The 21,136-nt window shown below is 43.2% G+C and overlaps 1 protein-coding gene and 1 pseudogene across 1 annotated transcript in view, besides 3 other annotated features; one reads left to right on the plus strand and one right to left on the minus strand.

Moving 5' to 3' along the window:
* Window positions 4,702–4,891: an enhancer, noted in NCBI's record as "active region_23748". NCBI's record gives its function as "activates an Ori minimal core promoter by ATAC-STARR-seq in GM12878 lymphoblastoid cells {active_cell/tissue: GM12878}" and the evidence as "EXISTENCE:reporter gene assay evidence [ECO:0000049][PMID:35858748]".
* ZFP2 (ZFP2 zinc finger protein) overlaps window positions 4,989–21,136 on the plus strand; it is a 37,300-nt gene continuing 21,152 nt past the window's right edge. Inside the window, exon 1 of the mRNA NM_030613.4 lies at window positions 4,989–5,050. The gene's annotated coding sequence lies outside the window, so the exon portion shown is untranslated. The remainder of the gene's footprint in view (window positions 5,051–21,136) is intronic.
* Window positions 5,002–5,111: a silencer, noted in NCBI's record as "silent region_16726". NCBI's record gives its function as "represses an Ori minimal core promoter by ATAC-STARR-seq in GM12878 lymphoblastoid cells {active_cell/tissue: GM12878}" and the evidence as "EXISTENCE:reporter gene assay evidence [ECO:0000049][PMID:35858748]".
* Window positions 5,182–5,231: a silencer, noted in NCBI's record as "silent region_16727". NCBI's record gives its function as "represses an Ori minimal core promoter by ATAC-STARR-seq in GM12878 lymphoblastoid cells {active_cell/tissue: GM12878}" and the evidence as "EXISTENCE:reporter gene assay evidence [ECO:0000049][PMID:35858748]".
* LOC100422593 (defective in cullin neddylation 1 domain containing 3 pseudogene) lies at window positions 18,669–19,939 on the minus strand (annotated as a pseudogene).

The following is a 21,136-nucleotide window of genomic DNA, read 5'->3' on the forward strand; positions in this document are numbered from 1 at the left end:
GAACCCGGGAGGCAGAGGTTGCAGTGGGCCAAGATCGTGCCACTGTACTCCAGCCTGGGCAACAGAGCAAGACTCTGTCTCAAAAAAAAAAAAAAAAACAAAAAAAAAACGGAAATTTTAGAACTAAAATACAGTAACCAAAAATTTTAAAATTCACTGCATAGGCACAGCAGCAGAACTGAGAGGACAGAGGAAAGTATCAGTGGATTTAAAGATAAAGTAGAATTTACTCAGTCTTAAATACAGAGAGAAAACAGACTGGAAGAAAAGCAGAGACTCAGGAATCTGTAGAATTGTAATAAAAGATCTAACAATATAATCAGAGTTCAGGGGAGAGAGAGAAGAAAAAGTGGGCCTAGAAAATCTTTGAAATATTAATGGCTGAAAATTCCCAAGTTTAGCAATAGGTATGAACCTATACATTCAAGAAGCTGAGCAAACCTCTAGAAGCATGAATCCAAGGAATCCACACCAAAACATATCACAGTTCAACTTCGGAAAACTAAAAGAAAATCTGGAGGCTAGGCTGGGCTTGGTGGCTCACTCCTGTAATCCCAGCACTTTGGGAGGCTGAGGTGGGCAGATCACAAGGTCAGGAGATCGAGACCATCCTGGCTAACACGGTGAAACCCTGTCTACTAAAAGTACAAAAAATTAGCCAGGCGTGGTGGCAGGCGCCTGTGGTCCCAGCTACACAGGAGGCTGAGGCAGGAGAATGGCGTGAACCTGGGAGGTGGAGCTTGCAGTGAGCCGAGATTGCGCCACTGCACTCCAGCCTGGGGGACAGAGTGAGACACTGTCTCAAAAACAAAAAAACAAACAAAAAAAACACTGGAGGCTAGAGAGAAAAATCACAGTTTACCTATAGGGATAAAAATCTAATGAAAACAGATTTTTCACTTAGAAACCACAGAGGCACAACATTTTTCAAGTACTGAAGTAAAATAAGTTTTAACCCAGGGAAATGACATCGGCAGAATAGGAAGCCCTAGTCCCTTGTTCTCCCACAGACACATCAGCTAAACATCAAACTACAAATTGCTTTTGTGAGAATTCTAGACACTAAGAAGTTGTAGCACGCCAGGTGAGTGCAAGGACAGAGACACATCAAAATGGTAGAAAATTTTTGACATTTTACCCACCCTAGCCACTCCCACTGCCTAGCGTGGCAAGGTGTGATCAGGAAAAAAACACTCAGCTGCCAGTTTTTCCCTCAGGAGGGAAGAAGAGTGGGCTGTGCATCCAGTGTTTTAGCTTTTCATGGTGCTTTCCAAGGGCATGGTTTGTCTCATGAGACTCAGAGTACTGACTGGAATTAGTAGTTTGGATGCTAGATTGGGGGCTGCTGAGAACAAAGGTGAGCACTGGAGCTTGTTACATCACCAGAGAGACTGTAATACTGCAGACAGCAAGGGGAACAAGAGGTTACAATCTCTAAAGAAGAAGCAGGCAAAAACCTCATTCTGTGCACAAGCCCAGAGAAGTAGCATCCCCAGAAAAAGTTTGAGACAATCCCAGAATCTCTAGTTGTGCTAAATGATGACGGTCTTCTTTTACACAAAGCCAATCCTTAGAGACTGCTGGAGGGGACTGTTTTTTTCAAGTGGTCAAGTCTCAACAAAAGATCACAAGGCTGTAAAGAAAGAGTGAAACACATCCCAATAAAAAGAAACTAACCTCCAGAAACCAACCCTAAAGAAATGGAGATCTGGCCGGGTAAGGTGGCTCATGCTTATAATCCCAGCACTTCAGAAGGCTGAGGCGGGGGGATCACTTGAGGTCAGCAGTTTGAGACCAGCCTGGCCAACATGGTGAAACCCCATCTCTACTAAAATTATGTGAATTATCCACGTGTAGTGGTGGGCGTCTGTAGTCCCAGCTAGGTGGGAGGCTGAGGCACAATCCCTTGAACCTGGGAAGTGGAGGTTGCAGTGAGCTAAGATCACACCACCGCACTGTAGCCTGGGTGACAGACTCCTGTCTCAAAAAGATGCTAAAGGGAATTCTTTAAATTGAAAGGTAATAACAACATGAAACTATGAAAATATAAAGACTCTGGTAAAAAATACATAGATACAGAATCCCTTAGTATTGTAATGTTTGAACATAAACCATTTTTAAGCCTGCTGTAGAATTTGAAAGAAAAAAACAAAGCTAGGCCGGGCGCAGTGGCTCACGCCTGTAATCCCAACACTTTAGGAGGCTGAGGCAAGTGGATCACTTGAGGTCAGGAGTTCGAGACCAGCCTGACCAACATGGTGAAACCCTGTCTCTACTAAAAATACAAAAATTATCCGAGCACAGTGGCTAGTGCCTGTAATCCCAGCTACTCAGGTGAGGTAGAATCGCTTGAACTTGGGAGGCGGAGGTTGCAGTGAGCCGAGATTGCATCCAGCCTGGACAACAAAGCGACAGACTGTCTCAAAAAACAACAACAACAACAGCAACAAAGCTGGGCATGGTGGCATGTGCCTGTAATCTCAGCACTTTTGGAGGCTGAGGTGGGAGGATCACTTGAGGCCAGGAGTTCGATACCAGTCTGGGCAACATAGGTAGATCCTGTCTCTACGAAACATTTTAAAAAATTAAAAACTGACTGCTATAACTTTTTGGTAGATTAGCCCTTTTATCATTATGTAATTTTCCTGTCTCAATTTTCTTTGTCTACAAAGTCCACATTATCTGATATTAATACAGTAGACCACTTCAGTGCCTTTGACATTGAACTCATGGGTTCTGGGTGACCAGGGTCATTGTCCAATATCAAAAGAACATTCAAGGGCAGTCCCTTACTGGCAAGGTACTTCGTGATTTCACGGACAAAAGCATTAGTGGAACCAGTCCAGAAAAAGTTTCTCATTGTCCAGGCCTTTTGGTTGTGTGCCCAAGAACAGAAAGTTCATCCTTAACCTTTTCCCTCCAAGGCTTGGAGGTTAGCAGCATTGTACATAACAGCAGTTCTGATCATAAACCCGACTACATTTGCACAAAACAGTAGAGAGACTCCATTCCTTCCTACCTTTATTTTTTGTAAAGACAGCATCTCGCCATGTTGCCCAGGCTGTCCTGGAACTTGCGGTCTTGAGTGATCCCCTGACTTCGGCCTCCCAGGGTGCTGGGATTACAGGCATGAGCCACTGTACCCAGCCTGGCCTTTACCTTTCTTACAGCTCTCTGGGATTTGGCATTATTTCAGGTTTGCCAAGAAAATAACATCCGTTTCCAAGATTTAAAATGTTGCTGGTGTGTCCTTACTTGTTTTTCCTGACCTTGTGAATTAACAAGTTTTCAAACAATCTGTTACATTTGCTTTTAGTGGTACAGAGGAGGCAAAATACATTTTTCTTGCGCGTCCTATGTTGGTGGCTGAGACCCCTAAGACAAAAGACAAATTAACAAGAGCAAAACATACAAGTTTCTTTAATACAAGTTTTACATGACACAGCAGCCTACATAAGGAAATGAAGTCCCAAAGAAACAGTTAAAGTTGTGTATTTTTATGCTAAATTTGATGAAGTCACAGAGAAATATAAATGGACAAAGAGGATATGATCTAATAGTAATACACTGGGGGCAACTTAGCAAGGCCTGTTTGTTCAAGAGTTTTCTCTGTGACTGTGTGTCTTCAGCAATAAAGATGTTACTTTCCTCCAGGTATAGGGAGTGCAAATCTCACATGAGAATCTTACGACCTGCTTCAGGGGACGTTAGGAAATTCTTCCTAGGTTTTACAACCTGCTTCGTGGGAGATGTGTGGAAAAGTCCTTCCTGTTTCTGCTGTTTTCTCAAATGATGAGGTGCCATATTTTGGCAGTGAGTGTGTGTGTCCTGAACTATATCAGTACGTGTTAGGAGGGAACAAAATTAGATGTGTTGTACCCAATCTGCCTTCTTTTCTTCTTTACTGTATGCTTTGAAGGCTGCAAAATTTCCTCTAAATATTCCCTTTACCTAAATCTTTTCTAAAAAGTTTCTAGTCTTTTAAAAAATGTTTAGCTTAATTACATTGTCAAAGAATATGGTCTTGTGTGATACCAATTGCTTGAAATGTGTTGAGGCTACTTTACAGACTAGTATGAGATCATTTCTTAAGTAAATATATGCTTTTCCATGTGTTTTCTTCAGTTTTGGGGTGGAGTAGTCTACATGTCTATTCATTAACATAAAACTAATTTTGCTTTTCAAATATTTCATATCTATAGTGACCTTTTTGTCAGCTTTTCTATTAGTTACTGAGAAGGTAGGTTAAAAACTCTGAGGCCAGGGTGGTGGCTGACGCCTATAATCCCAGCATTTTGGGAGGCCAAGGCAGGAGCGTTGCTTGAGCCCAGAAGTTTGAGACCAGCTTGGGCAACAGAGTAAGATCCCATCTGTACAAAAAAGAAAGAAAACAAAATTAAAAATGGGTTCTGCCCATGTTTGCTTTATGTATTTTGTATCTTATGTTATTAAATACATAAAAGTTTAAAATATTTTATTTGCTGGTAAATTAATGCCTTTTTTTTTTTTTTAAGACACTCTCTTGCTCTTGTCACCCAGGCTGGAGTGAGGTGGCGCAATATCGGCTCACTGCAACCTCTGCCTCTCAGGTTCAAGTGATTTTCTTGTCTCAGCCTCCCGAGTAGCTGGGACTACAGGTGCCCGCCACCACGCCTGGCTAATTTTTTTTGTATTTTTAGTAGAGACAGGGTTTCACCATGTTAGCCAGGCTGGTCTTGAATTCCTGACCTCAGGTGATTCACCCACCCGCCTCCCAAAGTGCTGAGATTGCAGGCCTGGCCAGAGAGACGACTTTAGCCGGGGTAAGGGGCCGCCTGGGAACCCCGCGTCCCGCCTGGACACACCGATGACCTGCAGAGGCCACACCGTGGGCCACCTCAGCTGGCCACTGGCACAGCCTTGCCCTCTGGGGCCCCGTTCTCGCACACGCCGACGGCCTGGCCGCACTGCAGCCCCGCAGCCTTGTGGGAAATGTAGTCTGGCGCTCCGGGCTGTAAGCGCCGGTCGCGGCTGTGTCGGTCGCCGCTGCTCCCGCTCCTGCTGGGAGAGGGTGAGTGCGGGGCCGGTGGCGGGGGCGCGCGCCATCCGTGAGTCTTGTAGGCCCCCGCAGGAGGAGCTCCGGATTGCGGGGCGAGGCCCCAGCTTCCTGAGGGTTGAGGGGCGGGCCCGCAGCAGATGGGCCGGGGGTGCGGCCTCACTGCGCCTGTGGAGCGCCGGGCCTCCGGCTCCAGGTGCGCTCCCTCTTCCCCAGGAGCTGGCGGCGGGAGCACGCTGGCAGCTGAGTGTCCTTCGGCGCTGTCCTGGGCAGGCGCCGAGGTGGAATCACAGCCCCGGAGCAGCGGGGATGGGGGCTCGAACAAGGGCCACGCCGGCCACCACGGGTCAGGGAGGGGCCCAAGGTTCCAAGAGTCGCTCGGACCCGGGTTCCTCCCTGGCTTTCCCCAGCCGCGCGCAGCTTTGTCCCGGGACACGCTGCGACCGTGGAGCGAACCTAACCCGCGGACATCCCGGGGATTCTGGGCCAGAGGCTGGGTCTCCCTGTGCAGCATCTGCCCTTTGTGTAAACCGGGTCTCCGGACCCGCCCTCTGGATCTCATTCCGAGAGCGCTGGCGTGGGCTCCCCTCCCATCTCACAATAAGAATGGGGAGGCCAACCTGGTGCAGGTTTCGACCTCGGGGAATCTTTTCTTTTTTTCCTTAAGCGATTTCACTGTAGCACAACTGGAAAATTGAGATTAAAACAATCATTCAAAATCTATCTCCATCTGCATGGCAGCGTGGATATGTGTATAAGCATAGAAACACTTTGTACTTTGTTTTTAAACAGAAATATGAATATTAGCAGCTTTTTCTCCATCTATCTTTTAAAACTGAGTCATGAGATGCATTTGGTAAGGGGTTTGAAGTGCACAAATCTTAAGCCTTGTAATTTTTTACTGGCCTAAACACCCAATGAAGATAGAGAATACATCTGAAAAAAACATTGGAATATGTTGACACCATCTACTTATACCAGATTTTAAATAGAGCTACGTCATTTTAATGAGTGTGAGGGAAAGTATGGATGTGTCGTATTGAATCCTCTCCTTAGGTTTTTGTGTTAGGGTTTTCTTTTTTCTTTTTTTTTTTCAGTATTATAAACAGTATAGGCCATCTGGCTACATACATCTTTGCATTTTGTCTTATTCTATAAATCTCTTAAAGTGAAATTTCTAGGTCCAGGGTACAGTAAGGATTTTGATACCTCCTGTCTTATTCCCTCCAGAAAAGTTGCAGTTTATATAAACACTTGCAGTGTAAGAGTGCCAGATTTACCCACACCAACTGTGAATGTTAGTATTCTCTTGAACTTCTGAGAGGTGCAAAAGATAGGATTGTTTACATTTGCATTTTGAACACTAATGAATATTTTCACGCAGTTTGCATTTTGTATTTTAATTTTGTATCTGATACATAAGCATGTTTCCTGACTGTGCAGAAACGTCACAGGTTCTTATGGTCACACATGAAAACCTTTTCTTCACGTTTGGGTGTTTGACATCACTGGCAGAGAAGCTGTCTGTCCCACGAGATTACAAAAATGTTTGTAGTTTCTCTTAGTACTTTCATTTTTTGTGTACATTTTTATTTTTTTCCAAATGGTAAGCCTTTGTTACAAGTTACTTAGTAATTTTTTCTTCGTTGATATGAAATGTCACTTATTTCATATCTTGAATGAAATATATATATACACACACATACATAAATACATGTGTATTTGAACCATTTAGGTTGGTAGAATTTTAATTTGTTCCATTGATGCTTTTCCCTGTTCGGCTATAACATCCATGATTGCGGAGAGTTTATCTGTTTTATTTACAGCTGTATCCACCCCTACCCCATGCAATGGTGCCTAGTATACAGTAGGTGGTCAACAATGTATCTGGTAAATAAGTCAGTAATATTGTGTTCCAATTCTTGTAGCTTTATGAATACTGGTGGGCAAGTTGTCTCTCATCAGTATTCTTTTTTAAAAAAGTCTTAGTTGTTGTAACACACAACTTAAATATTTTTTCCATAATTAGTGAACTTCTTTTTTTTTATTGAGACGGAGTCTTGCTCTGTCACCGAGGCTAGAGTGCAGTGGTGTGATCTCGACACTGCAACCTCTACCTCCCCGGTTCAAGTGATTCTCCTGCCTCAGACTCCTGAGTGGCTGGGATTACAGGCGCCCACCACCACTCTCTAATTTTTGTATTTTTGGTAGAGACAGGATTTTGCCATTTTGGCCAGGCTGGTCTCGAACTCCTGGCCTCAAGTGGTCCACCCACCTTGGCCTCCCAAAGTGCTGGGATTACAGGCGTGAGCCACCGCGCATGGCCCATATTAACTGTAAAATATTGTTACTTAGGCATAACTTGGCTGGGAATGTGTTAAGTTTATGAATTAAAGAAATGACATCCTGGTATATTGAGACATATTGTGCAAGAATATGTCATGTCTCTCTGTCTTTCGTCTTTGTATAGCTAAATAGGCATAATGAAGTGAACTTAATACATGAAAATCATTTTCTTTATGTAGCTACTATCCAGGTCTTATTTAGTTTATTTATAGGTATTTTCATTGTTGCTGTTGCAGGAGTCTTGTTTCTCATGGCTTCTTTCCCTTCCCTCAGCTCTGCCTCCTTTGGCTTCTGTCCCTCCCCAAGGAAGAACCCCACAGGAAGGAAGGAGAAGGCAATGGCTGCTTGGCCTCTGCCATTGGGAGCTCGGGTGAGCTCATTTTTCCCTCTCAAACCTCCCCCTTCCTCCTGTACTGCATGTGGGCCTCACTGCTCAGGACAGGGTTATTGAAATAGCAGAATGCTGGATATTTTTCACAAAGCCCCCTCTGTGTTCCTGACCTCTGTTCCTAGCTGCCACTTACTCAGCTGGATACCCTGGCCTGCTGTGTTCTTGGTGCTGTTCAAGGGTCAGAAAGGGAAAAAAGTTATATGCAAGCTGGTGCTGGTGCTTATAGGGCTTATGGGCTCTCAGGGATCATAAAAGAGGGCACATCTGCATGGTATACAGTCATAATTGCACCTGAATATGGTAATAAGAACAAGTGTGGTTAGGGACCCAGTTTATCCGTATTCCAAGCTGGAGTGAAGGGGAGGATCAGGGTGGTGGCCAGGAGAAGTAGGTAGTGTTTGCCCATCTCAGGGGTTGGGAAGGGATAACTGGAGAGGATTTGTTATAAGGGAGTCAGTGTGTCCAGAGTTTAAATCCCAGCTCTACCATTTAATAGCTACATTGTCTTGGCAAGAGGCTTGGCTTTCCTGAAACATTATTTTCTCATGGTCATAATAGGAATTACAGCATTACCTGTCTGCCATATAGGTGACATGAAGAACGTCACCTGGCTGATTTCATTTAATAGTAATAGCTACTTCATAGGTCTGTTGAAAGTTCAAATAAAATAATAAAAGTAAAAAATGCCTGGCATGGCTCCTGGAATGTTGAAGTTATTCAGTAAGTTGTAGGCATTCTTAGTATCATCCCAGCCAAGAGCCTGTGTATAGACTTTTAGAGGTGGACTGAAGGGGGCAGTGACTGATAGTGAGAAATGCTCTGCTGGAGTAGAAGAAATCGGATAAAAATTTTAGGACCAAGTGTCGGGAAGGAGGAGTTTGTGTGTTTGGCAGGGTGGTGGCCATGGGGGTGGAGGTCAGTCTGAGGAATTTTGATAAGGGAGTTCGCACAATCAAAACTTTCCTAGGAAAAAGTAGTGTCCGTGAGATGGAGGGAAGCATGGAGCTGGGATAGTAGGTGAGGATTCCAGGCTTCTCTGAAAAAGAAAATAAGGCATCAGAAGACTTGGCCCTAACTTCTTTTTTTTTTTTAAGGTTAAACTTACTTAGCCTTGTTGTCTGGAATACTGAAGACTTAACGGCATTTTCTCTTCTCATAAAAGTATGTATTAGGGGTCGTTGATTTATTAGGATCACTTGTTTATTTATTAGAGACCAGTTTAAAGAAAGCTTCGTGGAGGCAAGTATAAACTGTTGTGATTTCCATTTGTACTGCTTTCTTCAGTATTATCAAACTCAGTTATAAAAGGCAAAATAACTTTTAAAATGGGGGTATTGGACAAAGGGAGTTTCTGGAAGAGGGAAATGTTGAAAGGGGAAGCATTAAGAAGATTTTGGTTGATGACTGTTGTGGTTTGGTTGTCAGTAACCTACATTTTAATTTATGTAGCCAAAATAGTGTTAATTTTTAAATCAGCTTTTTCTGAGGCACAGTTTAATAAAATAACCCAATTTAAGCATAGAATTCATTGAGTTTTGACAAATTTATGCACCAACATAGCCACCACCTCAGTCAAGGTACAGAACTTTTGCATCACCCCAGCCAGCCAGTGTCCTCGTGCCACTTCTACTCCACGTCCCCCTCCCCAGCCAGACAGTGTCCTCGTGCTACTTCTACTCCACGTCCCCCACCCCAGCCAGCCAGTGTCCTCGTGCCACTTCTACTCCATGTCCCCCACCCCAGCCAGCCAGTGTCCTCGTGCCACTTCTACTCCACGTCCCCCTCCCCAGCCAGACAGTGTCCTCGTGCCACTTCTACTCCACGTCCCCCACCCCAGCCAGCCAGTGTCCTCGTGCCACTTCTACTCCACGTCCCCCTCCCCAGCCAGACAGTGTCCTCGTGCCACTTCTACTCCACGTCCCCCACCCCAGCCAGACAGTGTCCTCGTGCCACTTCTACCCCACGTCCCCCACCCCAGCCAGACAGTGTCCTCGTGCCACTTCTACTCCACGTCCCCCACCCCAGCCAGACAGTGTCCTCGTGCCACTTCTACTCCACGTCCCCCATCCCAGCCAGACAGTGTCCTCGTGCCACTTCTACTCCACGTCCCCCACCCCAGCCAGACAGTGTCCTCGTGCCACTTCTACTCCACGTCCCCCACCCCAGGAAGTCACTGGTTTGATTTCTGTCCCTACAGTATTGCCCTTTGTAGAACTTCATGTCAATGAAATCAAACAGTATATATTATGCCTGGCTTTTTTTGCTCAACGTAATGTTTTTCAGGTCTTTACATGATATTGTGTGTAGTAATAGTTTGTTCCTTTTTGTCTTAAGTAGTACACAGTTGAATATACCACCTTTTGTTCATTCACTTGTGACAGACATTTCAAGTTGTTTCCTGTTTTTAGCTATTATGAATAAAACTGCTCTGTACATTCATGTATGAGTCTTTTTGTGGATATATACTTTAATTTCTCTTGGGTAAATACCTAGGTCAAGTGTACATTTGACTTTGTAACAAACAGCTAAACTGTTTTCCAAAGTATATGTACCATTGTACATTCCCTCCTGCAGTATTTGAGAATTCCAGTCGCTCTACATGCTCTTCCATACTTGGTGTATCCATTTCCAAGAGCTGCTGTAATAAAGTGCCACAAATTGAGTGGCTCGAAACAATAGAAATTTATTGTCTCACAGTTTTGGAGGCCAGAAGTCTGAAATGAAGGCATTTGCAGGGCCTTGCTCTCTGAAACTGGTGGGGGAATCCTTCCTTTACTCTTCCTAGCTTCTAGCTTCTGGTGGTTTGCTGGCACTCTTTGGTGTTCCTTGGTTCATGGCTGCATCGCTCTAATCCTTACCTCCTTTGTCATCTGATGTTATCCTTATGTGTTCATGTCTTCAAATAGCCGTTTTTCTTATAAGGATACCAGTCATATTTGAGACAACCTGTTTTCAGATGAGGTCCTATTGCAAGGTACTAGAAGCTGGGACTTCAACATACCTTTTTTGGGGGACACAGTTCATAACACTAGGTATTATAAGCTTTTTAAATTTTAGTTATTTTCAAGGGTGGAAAATGCATCTTGTGGTTTTTTGGTTTGTTTTTTTTTTAACTTTTATTATGAAATAATTTCAGACTTTAAAAACTGCTGCAAGGCCGGGCACGGTGGCTCATGCCTGTAATCCCAGCACTTTGGGAGGCCACGGCAGGTGGATCACTTGAGGTCAGGAGTTCGAGACCAGCCTGGCCAACATGGTGAAACCCCGTCTCTACTAAAAATACAAAAAATGAACCGGGCGTGGTGGCACACACCTGTAATCCCAGCTACTCAGGAGGCTGAGGTGGGAGAATCGTTGGAACCCAGGAGGCGGAAGTTGCAGTGACGTGAGATCACTCCACTGCACTCCAGCCTGGGAGACAGACTGAGACAACAACAAATGCTGCAAAAATAAAACAATTTCTGGATAGTCTTCATCTAAATTAACATTTTGCCATTTTTCTCTTCCTGTATACACACACATGTTTGTGTATATATATTTCTGAACCATTTGAGAATAAATTACAGACATGCCCATTTCACTCTAAGTGTCCGTGTGTGCTTTCTATTATCATACCTAGCAAAAATACAGTTATCAAAATAAGGAAAACTTACATCGATACAATACTATTAGCCAAACTACAAACCTTACTTGGATTTTGCCACCTGTCCTACAACTGTCCTTTATCTGGTGCAGAATCCAATCCACATCACACATTGTATTTAGCTGTCGTATCTCCTTGGTCTCCTTTTATCTAGAAAAGTTCATTATTGATCTTCAATGACTTGGATACTTTTGAAGAGTACAGGCCAATTATTTCATAGAATGATCCTCAATGTGGGTTTGTTTGATGTTTGCTGATAATTTGATTCAGATTGTGATTAATTAAAATTTGAATGGCTGATACAGTCAGTGTTCAGAATTCAAAAATAAGCATTCACTTAAAATAAATCTTCTTCCTACTCTTGTCTCCAAGCTCCCTATTATCTCTTCTCATAAAAAGGTAATGATTCTCATTTCTTATGTAGCTTTCCAGAGATGACTACAAAAGCCCATAAAAGTATGTATTTTCCCAATTTTTAATCCAGTTGATAACAGATAATATTTACTCAGGAGTCTGCACCTGTTCTATTTTTAGCTATTTTGCATTTCACAATATATCTTGGAGACCTGTCCATATCAGTACATCGGGGCTTCTTTCTTTGATTATGTGGGCATATCATAGTTTAGTTAACCAGTCTGCCTTAAGGGACATTAGTCTAGACACTTGATAGCAGCTGATGACAGGCATTTTGTCACTTTTGTTGCTGCTTCTCTGAATTACTGATGAATCACTTGGAACTGTACAGTAGATGAGAAATGAGTAACTCAGATGTTGAGAAATAAAGTGTAATTGTCAACTAGATGTGTTTATAACCTGTAAATGGAATGCAATTACGAAGTACAGTAATAGACTTGGGACATATCAATGCAACATTAGAGCTGTTTTCCTTTTTTCATCTTTCTCCGTAGTTTCATCTTTCCCATATTGGCCAGTGATGGTAGTATGAATTGTCTAGGTGTTACTTTTATTTGCCTTTAAATTTAATATTTTTTTGAATATAAATATTGGGCATATAGACTAATCATATCTACTATCCCTTTTTAAAAATTTAAAGGCAATGAGAGAGAATTCCAAGTTTCCAACCCTCAGAAACAACTATGATGTACATTCTTCCAGCCTTTTAAAATACCTGTCTACACCCTTTGCCCATTTTTATATTGAGTTATTTACATATAAAAGAGGTCTTTCCTATAAAGTGGATAGTATTCCTTTGCTATACGTTGCCAGTATTCTGTCATGTTTCTTTTAAATTTGTTTATAATATATTTTGCTACAAAAAAGTTTTGAAGTTTTATGCAGTTAAATTTCCTTTCTCTTTACTTGGCTTTGGGATCATGCTATGAAAAGGAGCCTGGCATGGTGGCTCACGCCTGTAATCCCAACACTTTGGGAGGCCGAGGTGGGTGGATCACGAAGTCAAGAGATTGAGACCATCCTGGCCAATACGGTGAAACTCCGTCTCTACTAAAAATACAAAATTACAAAATACAAAAATACAAAAATTAGCTGGGCATGGTGGCACGTGCCTGTAGTCCCAGCTACTGGGGAGGCTGAGGCAGGAGAATCGGTTGAACCCGGGAGGTGAAGGTTGCCGTGAGCCAAGATTGTGCCACTGCACTCTAGCCCGGCAACAGAGTGAGACTCCATCTCCAAAAAAGAAAAAAGAAAAAAAAAAGAAAAGTTTTCTGTACCCCAAGATAATATAAATCTTTTTCTGTGTTTTCTATTAGTTTTATAATTTTAAATTTACATCCTTGTGCTATCTGGAATGTATTGTCTGTGATGTGAAGTAGGGATCTAACTTCATTTAACATGATGTGGTGAAGCATTTCATCCATCCATCCACTCATTAAACATATTTAGCGCTTCTCTGCCATGTGGTGTGCCGTGTTCTGGATACTGGGAGTGTTGCAGTGAGTAAGAGAGGCAAGATCTCCTTCTCTGAGCTCTTATTTTCCACAGGGGATGCAGACAATAAAGAGGAAATGTGGTTGAGGATAGTGTTAGGTGCTGTGATGAGGACGCAGCAGGGGAACATGGTAGAGTGTCACTCAGGGCTGTTTTAGCTCAGCAGAGGAGTGGCCCCTCTCAGGAGATGGCATTGGAGCTGATGTTATCTACTGAAATAATCTGCTCACTCTCCGTGGACTTGAAATGGAACCTTTAAAATATGCCAAATTGTCACATATATATGAAATATATATGAGAGTTTATATTATAATATAGTTTACATATATTTATATATGAGTTTATTTTTAAAATTTATATATATGTTTATTTTTCTGGATTCTATTCCATTGTTCTATTTCTGTTGTAGTACCACACTATTGTATTTGTTGTCTCAGAATTCATTTTGCTTTTTTTTTTTTTTTTTTTTTTGAGAGACAGAGTCTTGCTCTGTCTCCCAGGCTGGAGTGCAATGGCATGATTTTGGCTCACTGCAACCTCTGCCTGCCGGGTTCAAGGCATTCTCTTGCCTCAGCCTCCTCAGTAGCTGGGACTACAGGCACGTGCCACCACGCCTGGCTAACTTTTTGTATTTTTAGTAGAGACGGGGTTTCACCATGCTGGCAGGCTGGTCTCGAACTCCTGACCTCGTGATCTGCCTGCCTCAGCTTCCCAAAGTGCTGGGATTACAGGAGTGAGCCACTGCGCCCGGCCCATTTTGGTATTTCGTAAAGCAACTCTTCCCTCATTTTTCGTTTCAAAAGTTTCGTTACTGTTCTCGTATATTTATCCTTAATAGTCGAATTTTATTATGAAGTTCCAACAGTAATAGTAAAAAAGTAAAATTATGCAGTTCTGATTTGAATTTCAAAGTGTGTAAGTCAGTTTGAGGAAGATTGCCATCTTTACGATGTTTATTCTTCATATTAAGTAAAAAAATGATACTTTATTCTATTCAGATCTTTCATTATGGCCTTTAACTCTTTACAGACCAATCATGAAGATCTTGCATATTTCTCTTAAATGTATTCTTAGGTGTTTCATTTTCTGTTGCTGTTGTAATTGGAGTTTAAATATGATTGTGATTTTGTAAAGAAAAAATGTGGATTGCTCAGTATCATATCTGAAGACACTTTGCTGCTGCAGTGCCTAAAACTTCATCACTATCATATTTTACTTATAAATTATGCTTTCATCATTTATAATGTCCTTATTCTATTTGATATGCAGTTTTTTCAAACAATAACTGTATCAAAAAGCCTTTGTTTTTAGGTTTAAGAAAACCTCTGTATGAGTAAGATAAACCCATGAAGCTCCTTAAACACTATGAGGTATCCTGTACTGAATGTAGTGCTAGGGGGAAAATGACTCATACTAAATGGAAAGGAGGAAAGGAATAAAACATCTTAAGGAATTGATGACAAATGTATATTACTAAGTTCCATGTTCACTTTCTTTTTTTTTTTCTTTTTTCTTTTTTTTGGAGACAAGGCCTGGCTGAATTGCCCAGACTGGACTACAGTGGTGTGATCTCAGCCCACTGCAACCTCTGCCTCCTGAGCTCAAGCCATGTTCCCACCTCAGCCTCCCGAATAGCTGGGACCACAGGTGCACACTACCACGCCCAGCCAATTTTTGTCTTTTTTGTAGAGACAAGGTTTCGTCATGTTACCCAGGCTGGTCTCGAACCCCTGAGCTCAAGCCATCCGCCACCTGCCTTGGCCTCCCAAAGTGCTGGTATTACAGGCGTGAGCCACCATGTCTGGCCATGTTCACCTTTTAAGAAGCCTTTTGTAGTTACCTAAATCAGCACTTTACCAGCCCACAGCTGGCACGGGGATCTGCAGTGCATTTCACAATAGAAGCTCTGCGCATGCTGAGCACAGAGCCAGGACTTAAGGTGGTGAGGGTTTAGGGAAGCAAGGAAGACCAGCACATAGCAACCTGGATTTGGACTTTTATTTTGCCTTCTGTATTCAGCTAACAAGGTAATTTGTTGAAAAAAGTGGATGATTTTTGGAAGGGGAATCTTGCATTTCTGATTTGATACCTTCTTTCACCAAAAAGAGGCTTATTTTTGTTTTCACATATATTCTCCCTTATCTGATAACGTTATTCTCACTGCTTTCTTTACATTTGCATTTGCCTGCTATATCCTGTGTCTGCCCTCCTCTTTTGAAATTTTAAACTTTTTGGTTTCTGTTTTACGTATATCTTTTGTAGGTACCATACAGCTGGATTTTAAATCAATTTTAGAGTTTTTGTCTTTATTTATTTATTTTTTTTTGAGACAGAGTCTCACTCTGTTGCCTAGGCTGGAGTGCAGTGGCCCGATCTCGGCTCACTGCAACCTCCGCCTCCCGGGTTCAAGTGATTTTCCAGCCTCAGCCTCCCAAATAGCTGGGACTACAGGTACACGCCACTGTGTCTGGCTAATTTTTTTGTATTTTTAGTAGAGATGGGGTTTCACCATGTTGGCCAAGCTGGTCTCGAACTCATGACCTCAAGCAATCCACCCACCTCAGCCTCCGAAAGTGCTGGGATTATAGGCGTGCACCACCATGCCTGGCTGAGTTTTTGTCTTTTTTTTTTTTTAATAAGTTTTTATTTAAAAGATTCCCTTTTTAATCTGTTCCAAAGTGTTGGAAGCTGAACTATACAAGTTCCTGCCACCCATCCTTCCAGTAAAGTTTTCTGAGGACATACTTTTTAAATGGAAAAATAACAGGAGGATCCTCTAACTGAAACCAGGTAGGACCAGAGTCAGCTCCTCAAGCCCCTGAGGCAGTCTGGCCAAAGCTGGCCTTATGGAGCGAGCGTGTGGAGAAGTCTGGGGAACTGGACCCTCTTGTGAGGAAAGGGCTGAACAAGCTCATGTTCTCTTTAGTGAAAGTGGTCCAAATTCAGACCCAAAAGCCTCCATTATGGCATTCCCTGGCACTCTTCCTATACTTTATACATTGAAGGCAGCTCCCTCTTTTATGGCCAGTATAAGCAGGCAAAGAAACAAAGGAATATAGATACATATATGTGTACACATATATATTTTATATAGTTAAAATATATACATATTTTATATATGTATATATACATATTTGGGGGTAGGGAAAGGAGAGGAGGGTCCTGTAAACCTAAACAGTCATCACATTACCCCACATGAGCCTGACTTTAACAAAAAGTTGACTCCTGGGGGTTAAGTGACAACATGGGTGCAGCAAGAAGGGAAAGGGCACAAATTTAACTATTAAATATACTTTGATATTTGTTTGGCACAATTCAGGCCCACTCCAGGCTTCTGCCTTTGCCAGACAAGTAAGCTCATGATATTCAAAGAGATAAATAAATAAATAAATAACAATTCAAGCAGAGCTGCATACCACAGTTTTCCTTAAAGTCAGTTGGCCGGCACACAGTTTCCCAACCACCAGGAACAGAAACTTTGGCTCCAAGGCAAACGAAACAAACAAAAAAAATTATTTCCACTTACAACATGAAAATACAGAAACTTCATCAAAGAAAGAAAACTATCAAAGAAGTCTACTTCCAGCAAAACTGAGGTAGCACTGCTTTCTCTGCATTCAATGCTTAAGTGGTTCTCAGTACAACGTGTTCTTAAAAAATGCTCACTTGACTGACAGGTGCAGCATGTTGATGGATAAACTCAACATGAAATGCAATAGGTCAAAGAAGGAATGAGCAAGAAGTGAGGGAAATCAGAGTTCTGGATAAATTAGCTTAAAAGGGGGTTGTCACCAGACTACAAATGCTCTTGGCTGGCCTTGGCTCTCCAAGAGCTCTAAATCGCCTGGAAATTAATGCAGTGTGATTAAGTTAACACTCCTATTCAAATCTGTGTAAATCTTTAAAAATAATTATTACTGGCTGGGCGCAGTGGCTCACGTCTGTAATCCCAGCACTTTGGGAGGCTAAGGTGGGCAGATCATGAGGTCAGGAGATCGAGACAATCCTGGCTAACATGGTGAAACCCTGTCTCTACTAAAAATACAAAAAATTAGCTGGTGTGGTGGTGGTTGCCTGTAGTCCCAGCTACTCAGGAGGCCGAGGCAGGAGAATGGCGTGAACCTGGGAGGTGGAGCTTGTAGTGAGCCGAGATTGCGCCACTGCACTCCAGCCTGGGTGACAGAGGAAGACTCCATCTCAAAAAAAAAAAAAATTATTACAACCTAATTTCAACCATGTAAATAGCGCTACACACAGTACAGACCTGCCCTTAGAAACAATATGCAAAACAGATCTGGCACTGTATCATTTTATAATGTGAATTCACCCTAACCATCCCATCCCCCCCTCCCTGCTCTATGCCTTCCCCTACCAAAAAAAAAAAAAAAAAACCTAATTTGTGCAAGAAATGGCAGGCTTATTCTATCTGAAGGCTACAAAAAAAAGATAACATGTAGCCAGGTTCAAATATTTTGGGAGATTCCCCCAAAACAAGAAATAACCAAAATAACCAAAAAATGAAGAAAGTGCCTAAAACATGGTACAGCATTTTAGAGCCCTTTCAGATACAAAGCAGAGAAAGCTATGTTGGGAGAAAAGCTGAGTGTTGGGAAAAAAAGCTGAGGCAGGGCTTGCATGTCTGACATAGTGTAAAAGAGTCTTGGAACGTGTCTGGGGTCTGGGGTCTAAAACCCCTCGTGGCCTTTGGAATACCAAGTTTAGTGCTAAAGGGTGGAAGGCTGCCCTGCCGCACCGTTATCTAAGCCCAGGGCGTAAAACCCCTCGTGGCCTGGATGGAATCCAGGGCTCAGGGCGTAAAACCCCTCGTGGCCTGGATGGAATCCAGGGCTCAGGGCGTAAAACCCCTCGTGGCCTGGATGGAATCCAGGGCTCAGGGCGTAAAACCCCTCGTGGCCTGGATGGAATCCAGGGCTCAGGGCGTAAAACCCCTCGTGGCCTCTGGAATGTGTCTACACTTGCTGGCTCCTTGCTTCTAGCACTCCCAGGCTCATAGTTCGATTGTATCGTAAACTAGAAGAACGTGTTTCCCATTATCTCAAGCAGCAGAACATGTTCCATATGCTTCAAAGAAAATGGTAAACCATCTCAGCTGTAGATCATTGCTTGATAAATGGTTTTCTTTCAACCCCCACATCCTCACCACCTGCTGCTTTGTTTGATCACCAGTAAATAGTGCTTGCTTCCAGAGCTTGGGGCCTTTGCAGCCTCCATACTAGCATTGGCCCCCTGGTCCCACTTTCACTCTTGACTTCTCTTTGCTCATTCCTTTGACTCTGCTGGACTTGTAGCCCCCACGGCCTGGTGTTGAGTCTGATCACCCCAACAAAGGTGTGAAGTAGAAACTATCCTGATCTTCAGTAATTTCCCAAAAGGTCCAATTCCTCAGTTGGCTGCAGGGCAGCGGGCAGATCCTTGCTGCTGCTCCTGGGACAGAGCCACTAAGTCTGCTCCTCAGGACACAAGCCCTCGGGCCTTGAGCTGAGTGCACCTCTCCCTTCCTCTTCTCTTTTCCTTCGCTTCATTTCCCACTCCACAAAGGTGTCGAAGAGATTTGGCCAGGCCTCATCTTCACTGTGGTTGCTGAGGTCAGGGCCAATCACCTGAGTGAAGTTAAGGAACATGTTCCAAGAGTCCCGGGAGATGCCCTTGATCCTCAAGGGGTTCTCTGTTAGGAAGTTCAGCCATTGGTCCAATACTGGAGAATTGTTCTGGGTAGAGACTAGTTTCCATAGGGTGATGGCTATTTGCCGATGCAGTGACCACTGCCCTTCTTCAGAGTCCAGGCCAAACTGAAATGTAAACTGGTAGAGATCCTTGAATTTATTCTCCTGTTTGGCTTCTGTTAAGAGGCTGGAGAACCGTGCACAGATTCTGTCACTGCTGTCTGCATTTAATGCTTTGCAGCCATCAAAAATCTTTCTGGTGAATTTGCACATGGTTGCAGCCTGGAACTTCCAAGCCAAGAGCAGCACTCGGAATTCTGTGGGGTCGACACATAGGTCATTGCAAAAGTGCTCCATGCCTTCCTCCAAAATTGCATCTTCCCACTCATCCTTGTAGCACCTGAACAGTTCTTCCAACCCCTGCAAGGAAGACTCCTCGGCACTGGAGTTGGACTCCCTCCCACCATCTCCTGAGGATGTTGGCAGCTGGCAGCCTCGGCCTTCTTGGTCCCATTGACAAGGCTATCTCTACTTGGCATGCCACAGGGTGGTACTTGCTCCTCACAGTGGCCTGCACCCTGCCTGCTGTGTGACTTCTTGCTGGGGTCATGGTCTGCATTCTTGCTGCCCAGGGTCAATGAGGGATTCTTACACTTGGTGACACACTGGCCCATGGTACTGGTGTCCCGGCCTCTAGAATGGCCCCCTCTGGATCAGTTGCCCTCACTGCCGCTGGCCCATGCACCTCAACATGTCATCAGTCAGAGGAGCTAGCCAACAGCTGCTCCAGAGGTTCCTCCAGTCAAACCCTTTCTGGAAACGATGGCAGCATGGCGGGTCCAACCCTCCTACCATCCCCGCTGGGGTTTCCAGGCTCCCTACCCCTGCCGCCACCACCCCTTCTTCCACCACTGCCACCGCCTCCTTCATCTGCCAAGGGAAGTGAACCACTGGGTTCATTTTTAGGGACTGAACCTTTTTATAGGGAAAAAAGGTTCCTTTTAATAGGGAAAGCGAACCATTGGTGTTTGTCACTATATGTGTGTTAAGTATTTTTCTGGTTATTATGCGGTCTTATTTCCTTTATTCTCCTTTCTTTACGTTTGTTGAACATCTGATGATTTTCTTAGTTCCCTTTCTCCTTGGTTAAAATGGAAATTCTGCACTTTTCCTGAAAATATTTGTCAGTGATTTTTAATATATTTTTGTAACTTTGAAATATTGATTAAATAAAAATTAGGGAGAAAATGATGTAGAAAGAAAGGTAGACAATGAACTCTGTGCCTGAGTGTTGACACTTTTTCTGGAGTTCCTAGTCTTGGATGTGAAGTACACAAATTTCTTGGAAATTGATTTTGCCCTCTGTCTCGTATTCAGTCCTTCTTTCTCCACTACGGTTGACCCTTAAATAACACAAATTTGAACTACACAGGCCCACTTTGATGTGGATTTTTTCCAATAAAAATTACACTGAGTGTGCCTGCCTTTCCTGCCACCTGCTCTACCTTCGCCACCCCTGAGACAGCAAGACCAACCTCTCCTCTCCTTCCTCCTCCTCTGCCGTCTGTATGTGAAGACAAGGAGAAAGACTTTTATGATGATCCAGTTCCATTTAATGAGTATATGTGAAATAACTGTTACGTTATTAGTAAGGCTTCCAGTCAACACTAGGCTATTAGGAGTTAAGTTTTGGGGGAGTCAAAAGTTACACATGGATTTTAGACTGTGAGGGAGGTTGGTGTCCCTAACCCCCATGTATTCAAGGGTCAGTTGTACTTTCTCCCTTTTCCTTATTTACATATCAAAATGCTCTCTGTCCTTAAATGATGAAAACCTTTTCTATTGCTTTATTTCTATTATCTATTCTTATTTCCATAGTCTTACTCTCATTTTCTTTACAAAAAGTTTTAAGTAATTTATCTGGCCGGACACGGTGGCTCACTCCTGTAATCCCAGCTCTTTGGGAGGCAGAGGTGGGTGGATCACTTGAGGTCAGGAGTTTGAGACCAGCCTGACCAACATGGTGAAACTCCATCTCTACTAAAATTACAAAAATTAGCCAGGCGTGGTGGGCACCTGTAATCCCAGCTACTCGGGAGGCTGAGGCAGAAGAATTTCTTGAATCCAGG

Source organism: Homo sapiens, chromosome 5 (assembly GCF_000001405.40).
Source record: "Homo sapiens chromosome 5, GRCh38.p14 Primary Assembly".
In the NCBI taxonomy this organism is placed as follows: domain Eukaryota; kingdom Metazoa; phylum Chordata; class Mammalia; order Primates; family Hominidae; genus Homo; species Homo sapiens.